The following is an 11,780-nucleotide window of genomic DNA, read 5'->3' on the forward strand; positions in this document are numbered from 1 at the left end:
AAATATCAAAAGCCACTCTGCTTTCTTTTCTTTTTCAAAAGGATGTCAAAGACTCCACCAGTCAGTCCCACAAAACACCCGGGTCATATACCTAGGGCAACTGGCTCCGGCTGACCCTGAGCTCCCTCCTGGCTGTCATATACCCAACACAGAGACCAGACCTGCGGTGGCCCCACACCCAAAGGACACAGAGGCCTGGTTAGAGAGTCACAGAGAGTGGGAGCCCCTAACTGCAGACACTGCGAGGTCGACTCTGACCAGTTAAGGTTCTGCGTAAAACAACACTTTGTGGTTTTAGTGGGGGAGGGGGGCGGGGAGCTCCCAGAGGAAAGGAAGGACCAGTCAGTCTGAATCAGTATCTTTAAAGGAAGTGGCAGCCCTTTCTTGCTCTTTCTCAGGGTGCCTGGAAAAAGCCCCGGTAGATGTCCTCTCTTAAGGTTGTGAGCTCCCGAGGAGAAAAAGGAAGGGACAGGCTAGTTGTAAAACAGACCTGGTATCCCCTCCACGCCGCCCCACCCCCACTCCTCTAATTAAAGCAACATGCAGAATTGACAAAAATCCTCCAATGTTTTTTCAAACCCCCTGCCTAGAGCCCCAGAGTGAAATGTAAAAGTAAGGAGTTTCTACCCCAACACCACAGATGGTTTTGTCGTTTTTCCCCCCAAAACTTTAGGTAACATCCTCTTCCGCCCTTCTCCTCCTTGGCCAGCTGGGCCGGAGTGCCTCGAGGTGCCCCGCTCTGTGCAACGCAGAGGGCCACAGGGCGGAGGGCCTGCTCCAAGCCTCCCTTCTTTGTTCACTTGGACCCAGGGCTCACAACAAAACAAACACACATGCAAAACTATCACACAAACTTACCACCACCACGAGTGCAAAAACCCAGGCGGTTCTCCCAACGTGATGTTTTTTTCCCATCGAATCTGGAAAGGTAAGAGCAGAAGCAGCTTAGAGGAGCAGAGACGGGGTGGGCTGGGGGCTTCCCAGAGCCAAAAGGCTAGGAAGACCAACTAACAATAAATGCCAAAAGGTGATAAAAATTCAAAATGGTGGCCACAGTGGCTGCTCCTGAAAACAAAGGCTCTAAGAATAGTGGGGGGGGGGGGTGTCAAGAAATTGGATGCTGGGGGGAGTCCCACTCACCTCCGATAAGAAGGTCTGTGCAGATTTCTGTGCTCCTACGTGCAGTAAATATTCGTAGACGTATAAAGCTAACCTGGAAAGTGGACAGGGGGCAAAGAGAGAGAGGGAAAGGCGTCAGATCCCACCGGCGCTCTCCAGGACCTTGCCAGCAGGCTTTGAGCCCTGTCTGCGCCGTCCCATTGTGGCCCCGACCAGAGGTAAGCAGCTAGCTCACCCCAAACAGGGCCGCCAGGTGCGAACAGTTAGGGGGTGGGGACCAGGGAACGCGTTACCTCAAGCGGTGAGGGATGGAGAGCAGCCCCCAAACTTGAACTTCCAAGTGGCGTCGCGGGCAAACCCACCTAGGTTCCTCAAACTCGCAAGCCACTCGACCCCACAGCCACCTTGCCTTTCCCGACCCACTGCTCGCTACGCTCTCGCCAGCTTTGGAGGTCCGAGGAGACTCGGCCCTGGACTCCGGGTGCTTGGCGCGCTCTGGAGAGGGCAGCAAAGCGCCACCCTCGTCACCTCCCCCCAAACAACTGTGCCCCAAGCCTGGGGCCAAGCCGGCACCACCGTCGCTGCCCAGCCCGGCGTCCGAGGACGCGGAGCCGGTGACGAAGCCGAGGACAGGGAAGGGAGAGCGCTCCCGGCCGAACAAAGCCCCCGGCACGCACTCCTCACGCCGCGGGCGGACAAAAGGAGGCTTCGGGGCTGCAGAAGCCACGCGCCCCCTGCCCGCACCCGGTGGGCAAAGTGCGGCCACCGCGGGGAGCGCCCGGCTGGGGAGAACGTCGAGGCTCGCTGGCGGGACCTCGCCCACCACTCACCGCGGGCCCCCGCGCTCGACCCGCGCCACGGCCACCAAGTACCCCCTCCGGCGGCTCCCCCCACCGCCCCTTCCCCGATCCCCCAACCTCCGCCGGCTCCCAACAATGGGCTCTCCCACGCCGCCCGCCGCGGCCTCGGGGAAGGGGCCAGGCAGGCGGCGCCTGGACCCGGGGACCCGAGGGCGCAGCAGCCTCCGGCCCCCGCCCGCCCGCCCACCTGCCTCCCACCGCCCGCCCGCCCGCAGCCCGGCGGCGGCGCGGCCGCCACTTGCAAAATAGGGCTTACTTTTCCCGAGCCTGCCCATCCGAGGGCACCGCCGAGCCTTTGCCTTTGGCAAACATGGTTTGCAGGGAAGAGGGCGCCGAGCCTCGCCGCCGCCGCCGCCGCCGCCGCTACCGCTCCGGCTCTCCCGAGCTGCCCCTCGCTCCCGGCCCCCTCCCCGGCGCTCGCTCGCTCTCTCGCTCGCTGGCGCTCTCCTCGCCGCGCTCCCCTCCCTCCCCCCCAGGCGCTGGCTCCGCGCTCTTTCCAGCTGTCAAAGCGTCAGCCCCGGCCGCGGCCCCATCGCCCTGGAACTCCTTCCGCGCCGGCTCGGCCTGGGGGTGCCGCCGCCGCCGCCCGCACGGCCGCCCGCTCTCCGCTCGCTCGCGCGCCCGCCCGGCTCCGCCTGCGCCGCCCTCTGCGCCTCCAGCACCGCTGCCGCCGCCGCCGCCGCCGCCGCCGCTGGTCTACTTGGAGCTCAACCGAACGTGGCTACCCGGGCGAGGGAGCGAGGCGGGCGGCAACGTCCCGCGATGGATGGCCGCCTCGGCCAATCGGCGCACGCGGGGGCGGGCCCGGGCCGGCTGGGAGGGACGCCCTGACAGCGCCGGCCGCGGCAGTCCCCGCTGCGGCCGCCTCCGCGGAGCCGCTGCCTGCTCCTGCAGGCGAACTGGGGGCGTCCGGGGGCGCGAGCCTCTCTTTCTGTCGCCGGGGCGGTGGGCGACGTGGATCGGGCTGGGGGCACCCTGGTCTCCTCGCCCCAGCGAGGAGGGGGATCTGACCCGCGCTCCCCGCGGCGTGGACCACTGGGGGGCTAGGGGGGCGCTGCGGCAGCGTCCGATGGGAGGGGGCGCAGACCCCCAAGCGGTCGCCGCTCGCTCCCTCCCGCCCCGTCCCTCTCCCTTATCTGCCCCTCAGCTCCCCCCCGCCGCGGCCCGCACCAGCCCAGCCCTTATCTCGCCCTCCGCTCTTGGTTGTCCTCCCCCTAGGCTCCGACCCCGACCCCCTCCCCAGACTCCAGCCCGGCCCCCAGCCCGCCCCGCCCCCGGGCCTCCCTCTCGCCCAGTCTGGCTTCCGAGCGCCGGGCCCGGGGCTCCACGCTGAGAGCTGGGCGGCTCGAGCCGGCGCCGAGGCGCGCGGCTGCTCCTTTACTAGATCATTAAAATACTTTGGAAAACCCCAAAGTGGAGCCGCGCGAAAATGGCCCTTGGCGTGCTTTGGGGAGCCGGGGGGGAGGGGGGCTGGGGACAGGGGACTTGAATTAAGAGGAGGGAGAGTGATTTCTCCCAAATTTCCAAGGTTTGCCAGTCTTGGCAAGTTAGCCCCTCGGCTTCTGCACGGGAAAGGGTGCCACTCGGAGATGGGGGGCGTCACCTGGGCGGCCCGCGACGCGGAATGCTCGCCACAGAAATCTGCAAACTTCAAATAAATGGAGCTAAATTGGGGAGTGAGGGGACGAGAGTCAGGCGTAGGGGGAGGGGAAGCTTCCATTGTCAGTGACCCAGGTGTACAATGGGAAATTGAGGGGGGGGCTGGCAGAGTGACCCAGCTATTTGCTGCTGACTCCTTTCTGCCCACGCCGAGAACCCAGAAGACACACTGCGTGCCCCTCATTAGGGACTCTTAAGACCAGATACCGGCGAAATAGGGGAAGGCTCCCCCATTTTCAGACTGTTTTTAGAGAGCGGATCTCTTTAAATGTGATAAAACACTGTCGGCACTGTCTCTTTAAAAGAGTCAAGCAGAAAAAGCTGTGTAAGCGCTGATTGGCTGCCTGTTTGGATACATCTTTAGGGGAGCCTTGAAACTGTTAGCCTAGGTTGATTTTTTTTTTTTTTTTTTTTTTTTTTTTAACTGCGCTGTTCCAATAAACAAGTAACGCCCCTCCCCCTAACATGCCTCGCACCAAACAATTAAAGGATAGGTCAGTGTCCTGGGGAAAACACGTTTCAAGTAGGAAAACTCAGAACTAGATTTCAACAAAATAAACAATAATTCCCTACCATTAAAGTTTGCTTATTTTGATCTGTAGAAGAGAGAAAAGGGGCTTTTAAAAGAAATGCCCCGCAGCAAAAGAATCTGCATTGGTTCAGGAAGGAGACTCTGGGTGCATTTTTGGAATAATGTTCTACTCAATGTAACAACCTCCCTAAATTAGAGTACAGCCAGGCCCTGCGGACACCTCTGGACTCACTCTGCTCCCTTCCAGGACCCAGCGCTCACAGGGGAAAGGGGCAGAAAAAAGGAACGCTGAGACCTAGTTTATGGGCGTCTGTGCGCTAGTCCCTATTTTAAAGGTTGTTTCGTGAATGAGGGAAGCATGGAGGTTGGGAGTTGGAATACAAGGATAGGGGAGAGAAGGAAATAATTACAGTTATTTTTTCCCCTAGGCGGTTTAATTTAATAGGGCTAACTTAAGGTACCTTAGAGCCCACACTAATTAAATTGGCCTGCTCATACCCTTGCCCTGGACTTCCTTCTATTTTGAATGGGCTAGGAATGGCCAGGGATGGCTTGTCAACAGACTGACTCACAAGAAGCCTGACTCATCTTGTGTCTGCAAGGCCCACAAATTAGGAGTATCGGTTTGGTCCTGGCTAAAAAAAGGAAGACACTGCCCTTCTCCGGCCCTGCTATGACCCAGGACTCAACCAGATTGGCCATGCCCTTATCAACTTCATGGCTGCAACACAAGCATATCTATTTGAGCATCAGTTTCTTCACCTGTCAAATGGCAAAGGGAGGTTAGAAGATATACAGTATCTCTTGATAATCTGATGTGCTACAATGTTAAAATTTCCCTCCTATATTTTTCTCTCCCTACCACCACCCTGGAAAAAGGACTAGCACCTCCTTTCCAAACATGTGGCAAGAAGAGAGGGGTAGGGTTCAGAGATCCTGTGCCAGGCACTCTGTGGTCAGCCCTTTGCTGGAACTTGACACAACAAAGCTGCACGATGGTTGGTAGATCCCTTGTTGGAGCTAAAAGAGATGGTGAGAGGGCCCGGGCAGAGAGAGCAGGGAGAGTGTCTTAGCCACCCCTCACCCCTGCTGGCTAGAAGATTGCTGAGGGGTTCCCTGGAAGCAGGACCACTCAGCAGCCCTAAGTAGGTGTGTGGCTGCTGGCACAATTATCCAAAATGTGGTCAGATCAGAAGCAAGTCCAAACACCCATGAACAGCATTCAAGGCCCCAGTCTACCTTTCCCCTCTGGATCCCCCCAGGCCACATCTTTGGGCCTGAAGTCTGTCTTCCTGGAATGCTTCCTGCCTCAGTTCCCTTCTTCTACCATCCTTTAAGGCTAACATCCCCTCCCTCCAGTGCCATCTCCTCCACAAAAACCTCCCTGCTTCTCACTCCTGGAGTGAAACCTGTCCTTCTGTCCCTCCAATCTTATCTCGTTTTGCTGGCACCATTCATTCTCCCCATTGTTGTAGCCACTTGTTTACTGTCTGTCTCCCCCACCAGACTGGGAGGGTAGGATCTCAGTTTGAGTTATCTGTGTATCTCCAGCACACAGCGCAGGCTCAATACCTGTGTATGTTAACACTCAGTGCAGGCACCAGGAGCCCCCAGGGACCGAGAGAGAGAGGGAAAACTCACCCCAGCCCCAAAGTACTGGGCCCAGTAGGGAGATAAGGAATGGATACCACCAACAATAGGGTTAGATAAGGCCACTCCCTCGGCTCAGCCACACCCTCCTAAACTACAGACACCTGGAACTCTGTACTTTCAGTTTCCAGAATGGCTATGCCATTTCACACATCCACCCTGACTCATATTCTCTCTGTCTCTCTGTCCCCCATCTTTCTCTTGCCTCCCTCCCTTCCTTTTTTTCTTTTCCTTCTTTCTTTTAGGACCTGCTTATTGAACGCCTGCTATATACCATACGCTGTTCTAGGCCTTGGGAGATAAACCAGACAAAAATCCTTACCCCGTGGAACTTACACTGTAGTGAAGTCCCCTGCCCAAAGCCCCCTCCGGTGACAGACTCCCACTAACACTTCTCAGATCCAGCCTGGGCAGGCAGCATCTCCTTCAGAGAGCCTTCCCAGATCCCCCCTCTGAACTCCCAGTTCGGGGCAGGTGTGCCCTCTGTGTCCCCACTGCATGGGTGTGGTTCAGGGGTGCATTTTCCCCATGGGAATATGACTCCTTAGGGTCAGGGAATGATCATCATTTTCTGGGGTACCCTCAGTGCCCAGTAACATGGTGAAAGGAACAGAAGGACAGATGAACTGGGTGACCAGATGTTGCAGGACATGCAAGTGAGGTGGGAGTGAAGACGGAGAGGTGAATTCCAAGCTTAGGCTAGAAGGGCCGCTCCTTCCTCTCTTGGCTGCCAGCAACTGGGGCAGCAGGAATCCTGGGTTCTGGCACCAGATGGTTGGGGTCCAGGCCTCCAGAAGGAGGTGGTTAAAGGAAAAGGGACTTTAGGCCCATGAACTCAACCCAGGAGACTGTGCTTGCCAAGGATGCCAGAAGACCTTGTTCCCTTTCCCTGGTTCAAAGCTCTCTTTCAGTGCTCCTCACAGCTGCTAGGAGGATGGATGCAAGCTCCCGCTGGGGGCTGTTTCAGTGGAAGCTGAGTATGCAGCCCACTTCTGCACCCGGCACGCTCAGTCCTAGAATTGCACGGGGATACCTCTGATCAAAACCTTCGGGCCGGTCAGCTCTGGTTTTAGCAGAAGTTTCCCTGAGGGATCGGGGGCCTCCACAGGGGGAATACAAAATCCAACACGCAAAGACCTGGCTTCACTGCCTTGCTGGCAGACTTTGGGCAAGTGACCTTCCCCTCTGAGCCTCACCGTCCTCTCTGTGCAATGAGTATGTTAATGCCTATGCCAAAGGCAGGCTGGGAGGACAAAGAGAGGTAAGTGATGGGGAATCGCCTACTAGGCTATTAGTCAGTGTTGGCTGAGCCCAAGGTTCTGATGATGGAGAGTAGCCGCTTGGGATGGGTGTTTGGGGGCTCAGGGGAGACAGTAATTGGGGAAATGTTTCGAAAATTGAAAAAGATGATTACTCATGGCCAGCAAACAGAGAGGTGCTAAGAAAGAAGTGGATTTAAATTTAAAATCAAATGTGTTTTGAAATGTCTTCCAACGGACACATACTTCTCCTGAGCCAATTTGTCATAGCAAAACAGGCTTCAAGTATGGAATGGGTTAGTATAGAATCGGTTAGTTCAATTTGAAAGCACCCATGTGCTCAGCCTTGTTTTGTTTTGTTTTTTTCCTACCTATTTCCTTCATAAGAATTTAAGCATTTGAGCTAGGCACGGTGGCTCACACCTGTAATCTCAGCACTTTGGGCTGCCAAGGCAGGCAGATCATGAGGTCAAGAGTTCGAGACCAGCCCGGCCAACATGGTGAAACCCCGTCTCTACTAAGAATAGAAAAATTAGCCGGGCATGGTGGCATGTGCCTGTAATCTCAGCTACTCGGGTGGCTGGGGCAGGAGAATCGCTTGAACCCAGGAGGCGGGGGTTGCAGTGAGCCGAGCTCGCACCACTGCACTCCATCATGAGCGACAGAACAATACTCTGTCTTGAAAAAAAAAAAAAGAATTTAAGTACTCTGACAGGCCATGGTGGCTCATGCCTGTAATCCCAGCACTTTGGGAGTCCGCGGCGGGAGGATCACTTGAGCCAGGGACGCTGGGAAGTACAAGAAAGCAGAAGGCTGCCGGGCGCGGTGGTTCACGCCTGTAATCCCGGCACTTGTGGAGGCCGAGGCAGGCAGATCGCGAGGTCAGGAAATCGAGACCATCCTGGCTAACACAGTGAAACCCCGTCTCTACTAAAAATACAAAAAATTAGCTGGGCATGGTGGCGGGCGCCTGCAGTCCCAGCTACTCAGGAGGCTGAGGCAGGAGAAAGGCATGAACACAGGAGGCGGAGCTTGCAGTGAGCCGAGATGGCGTCACTGCACTCCAGCCTGGGGGACAGAGCGAGACTCCGTCTCAAAAAAAAAAAAAAAAAAGCAGAAGGCAAGGCCCTATCCTGGTAGCTGGGGAGAGGAACCTGACACCCACCACTCCCCCAACTCCACCTCACCAGACTCACCAGAGTGCCCTAGCCTCTGAGTTCTCTCAGCCTGGGACCAGCATGGCTCTATTTTCATTCACTTGCCAAAACTTTGCTCTTGCTGGTCACTCTTCTCCAAGGTAAAGGCTTCACTCCCACCTCATTTCCTCCAGGTCAAATCACCAGAGCCCCTCCCAAAGGAACCTCTTTAGAATGACAGCTGCCCTCGGCCAGGCGTGGTGGCCTGTGCCTGTAGTCCCAGCTACTCAGGAGGCTGAGGCAGAAGAATCGCTTGAACCCAGGAGGTGGAGATTGCAGTGAGCCGAGATCATGCCACTGCACTCCAGCCAGGGCGACAGAACGAAACTCTGTCTCAAAAAAATTTAAAAATAAATAAATTAAATAAATAATAAAGGAATGCAGTTCTGATACAGTCTATAGCATGGATGAACGTTGAAGACATTATGCTAAATGAAATCAGCCAGACCCAAAAGGACAAATACTCTACGATTCCGGTCATATGAAGTACCTAGAATAGTCAAATTCAGAGAGACAGAGTAGAAAGGTGGTTGCCAGAGCCTGGGGAAGGAGGGAGTGGGGAGTTAGCGTTTAATGATAATAGAGCTTCAGTTTGGGAAGATGAAAAAGATCTGGAAATGGATGATGATTCCATTGGTTACACAATAATGTGAATACACTCAATGCCACTGAAGTGTACGCTATAAAAGAGTTACAATGGTAAATTTTGTTATATATATTTTACTGCAATATTTTTTTTTGAGACAGAGTCTTGCTGTGTCGCTCCGTTTGGAGTGCAGTGGCGCGATCTCAGCTCACTGCAGCCTCTGTCTCACGAGTTCCAGTGATTCTCTTGCCTCAGCCTCCTGGGTAGCTGGGATTACAGGTGCACGCCACCACGCCCAGCTAATTTTTGTATTTTTAGTAGAGACAGAGTTTCAACATGTTAGCCAGGCTGGTCTCAAAACTCCTGACCTCGTGATCCACCCACCTCAGCCTCCCAAAGTGCTGGGATTACAGGTGTGAGCCACCGCGCCTGGCCTGCAATTTTTTAAAAAACTAAAAAGAGATGGGTGATGACCCAAGCATCACATGTGGGAAAGACTTACGGACATGGTGCAGAATGGCGCAGCACACCCCTGTCTGAGCATCAGAGGTTCCCATGCTCCTGAAACCCTCTCCTCACACAGCTTCAGGGCTCCACTCTCTCCTGGTTTTCCCTCTTCCTCTCGGGCTATTCTTCCTGTTATCCTTTAACGGATTCTTTTTTCTCCAGCCTCCTCTAAAAATTTTATTAGTCAAACTATTGCTGATACAGTGTTACCTAACACACAGCCCCCAAATCTCAGTGGCTTATAATAAAAGCCATTTATTTCTCACTCACAGGTCTGCAGTCAACTGGGCAGCTCTGCTTCAGGGTACAGCTTGAGTCTGTCCCATGGGTCTCTCATTCTGGGGCACAGGCTGAAGGGCAGAGGATGTCTGTCATGTTCTTTCCAGAGTAAAAGGAGCTCCAGAGGCCAGGCCAACTCACGCAAGCCTCACATCCGCTCCCAAGTCACATGGCCAAGCCCAGCATCAATGGGGCAGGAAGGGGGAGTGAATGTTTGCTGAACAGTAGTAAAATCTAGGACAGATGGGCTTCTCTCAGGCTCTGTCCTGGACCTTCTCTCTCTCTTTGGGCAAGTTCACATGGCACTAATTGCATCTGAACTTCAATGACAATGACTCCTGAATCCATCCCACTGGCGCAGACCCTTTTTCTTAGCCCCAAAGCCATGTGTGTTCAGTTACAGAGCATTTCCATCTGCCTGTCTCTCTGGTGCCTCAAAGTCCATGTGTCCAGAGCTGGCCTCATTATTTCTCCCCATCCAATTCCTGTAGTCAATCTCCATTTCTGTACCCGGCACCAACACCGTTCTATCAGGTGAGGAGAGCACACAGAAGGTGCCGTGTTTACCAGATCCAGCTGGCCAAGCTTGGCACTGGCTGGGAGTGAGAAAGAGGAGAAGCAGAGACCGGCCCCATGGTGTGTGGTAGAGATGGTTGGGTCCAGCCCTGAATTGTTGCACAGCCCCTAACTGGTCTCCCTGCCTTCAGAACACTCCCCTTCACCCTCCCTTCCCCAGCCAGAGGGATGTGTTTAAGGCACAGGTCTGACCATGTCACGCTCCTGCTTAAAACCCTTTGGGGAATCGCCATTTTATCCAAAATGAAGCCCAAATTCTGCAGCAAAAAGATTCAAGGTCCTTCATGATCTGACCCTATCTCCCTTCACAGCCCGTTGCTTGTTGGGGATTGTCCTGGATGTGGGGGATGGATGTGTGAACAAGAGAGCTGTGGTCCCTGCTTCCTGGAGGTTTGTCACCTGTGGGGAAGCAGATGACTCCATTAGTACCTACAAGATCCAACGTGACAAGGGTGGTGATGGAACACATAGGCCCCCGTGGGCACAGTGCAGGGGCGCTAGGCTGCCCCAGGGTGTCAAGGAAGGCAGCTGGAGGAGGTGACCTTCCTTCCTCTGGCTGTAATGGGAATGGATGAGTGCTCTCAGGGGGAAGCTAGGGACAGGCTCCTAGGTTTACCAGCAGGGCTGATGCAGGAGGAGCCAGTGAAGGAGACCAAGGAGGACTGTTCAGAGCCGCAGAGGAGGAGGCAGCCCCGGGAAGACAGCGCTTCCAGGAGAGAGTGGCCGAGCAACGGAGAGCATGAACACGGCTTTTGGAAAGAGCTCTGTGAAGGGCACAGTTGGCCGGTGTAGAGCAGTATTACTATTTTTTTTAAGACGGAGTCTCCCTCTGTTTCCCAAGCTGTAGTGCAGTGGCGCGATCTCGGCTCACTGTAACCTCTGCCTTCCGGGTTCAAGCAGTTCTCCTGTCTCAGCCCCCCGCGTAGCTGGGACTACAGGCACCTGCCACCACGCCCAGCTGATTTTTGTTATTTTTAGTAGAGATGGGGTTTCATGATGTTAATCAGGCTGGTCTCAAACTCCTGACCTCAGGTGATCCACCCACCTCAGCCTCCCAAAGTGCTGGGATTACAGGCGTGAGCCACCACGCCCGGCCACGTAGAGCAGTTTTAGGGGAGTGATGAGGCTGGAGCCAGACCCCGGCAGTGGAGGAGTGGAAGGGAGGCAGAGGAGAGAGAATGCCGTGGAGGAGTGGGAGGGAGAGAGGAGACAGCAAGTGTGGATAACTCTTGGGGTAAGAGACAGCCAGCACCCACAGGTAAGAGTGTTGCTGTGTTTTGCTGGAAAGTGGGAGACACTAGAACCTGCACAAATGCTGATTGCAGGGAGTCCATGCAGAGGGCAAGGCTGGAGGAACTAGATGGAGGTTGAGGGTGAAGCTAGCATGGAGTCCCTAAGAAGAGGGAGGAGAGTGGCCTCAGTAGGGTTGGAAAAGTGCCTTCACCTCTCTGGGCACACAGACATGGAGGGACTCAGCCTGCACCATCGAGGCGCTCACAGTCTAGGAGATGAGGCTGTCCAGGGGAAACAGGCTTGGAGCTGTGGCTTTAAAGGATG

General features: G+C 55.3%; 1 protein-coding gene across 13 annotated transcripts in view, besides 5 other annotated features; it reads right to left on the reverse strand.

Annotated features, from left to right (window-relative positions):
• The window catches only part of SSBP3 (single stranded DNA binding protein 3), a 188,059-nt gene extending 178,286 nt beyond the window's left edge, over positions 1 to 9,773 (reverse strand). For 6 of the 13 annotated variants that reach the window (NM_001394362.1, NM_001394363.1, NM_001009955.4 and 3 more), the window contains exons 1-3: positions 2,236 to 2,677; positions 1,141 to 1,213; positions 859 to 920 (exon numbers count right to left, since the gene is read on the reverse strand). In NM_001394362.1, the coding sequence (NP_001381291.1) occupies positions 859 to 920; positions 1,141 to 1,213; positions 2,236 to 2,291 (191 nt within the window). In that variant the 5' untranslated portion in view covers positions 2,292 to 2,677. Of the gene's footprint in view, positions 1 to 858; positions 921 to 1,140; positions 1,214 to 1,412; positions 1,612 to 2,235; positions 2,678 to 9,638 lie in introns of those variants that run through there. The other 7 variants (NM_001394364.1, NM_001394367.1, NM_001394361.1 and 4 more) reach the window with 6 other exon arrangements.
• Positions 1,272 to 2,183: an enhancer, noted in NCBI's record as "H3K27ac hESC enhancer chr1:54870662-54871573 (GRCh37/hg19 assembly coordinates)". NCBI's record gives its function as "activates a minimal SCP1, AML or CMV promoter by ChIP-STARR-seq in naive H9 embryonic stem cells {active_cell/tissue: H9 hESC(naive)}" and the evidence as "EXISTENCE:reporter gene assay evidence [ECO:0000049][PMID:30033119]".
• Positions 1,623 to 1,672: a silencer, noted in NCBI's record as "silent region_916". NCBI's record gives its function as "represses an Ori minimal core promoter by ATAC-STARR-seq in GM12878 lymphoblastoid cells {active_cell/tissue: GM12878}" and the evidence as "EXISTENCE:reporter gene assay evidence [ECO:0000049][PMID:35858748]".
• Positions 2,561 to 2,960: a silencer, noted in NCBI's record as "silent region_917". NCBI's record gives its function as "represses an Ori minimal core promoter by ATAC-STARR-seq in GM12878 lymphoblastoid cells {active_cell/tissue: GM12878}" and the evidence as "EXISTENCE:reporter gene assay evidence [ECO:0000049][PMID:35858748]".
• Positions 4,006 to 4,915: an enhancer, noted in NCBI's record as "H3K27ac hESC enhancer chr1:54873396-54874305 (GRCh37/hg19 assembly coordinates)". NCBI's record gives its function as "activates a minimal SCP1, AML or CMV promoter by ChIP-STARR-seq in primed H9 embryonic stem cells {active_cell/tissue: H9 hESC(primed)}" and the evidence as "EXISTENCE:reporter gene assay evidence [ECO:0000049][PMID:30033119]".
• Positions 7,325 to 8,100: an enhancer, noted in NCBI's record as "H3K27ac-H3K4me1 hESC enhancer chr1:54876715-54877490 (GRCh37/hg19 assembly coordinates)". NCBI's record gives its function as "activates a minimal SCP1, AML or CMV promoter by ChIP-STARR-seq in primed H9 embryonic stem cells {active_cell/tissue: H9 hESC(primed)}" and the evidence as "EXISTENCE:reporter gene assay evidence [ECO:0000049][PMID:30033119]".
• Positions 9,774 to 11,780: the final 2,007 nt, after the last annotated feature.

This window comes from Homo sapiens, chromosome 1 (assembly GCF_000001405.40).
Source record: "Homo sapiens chromosome 1, GRCh38.p14 Primary Assembly".
Lineage (NCBI taxonomy): Eukaryota > Metazoa > Chordata > Mammalia > Primates > Hominidae > Homo > Homo sapiens.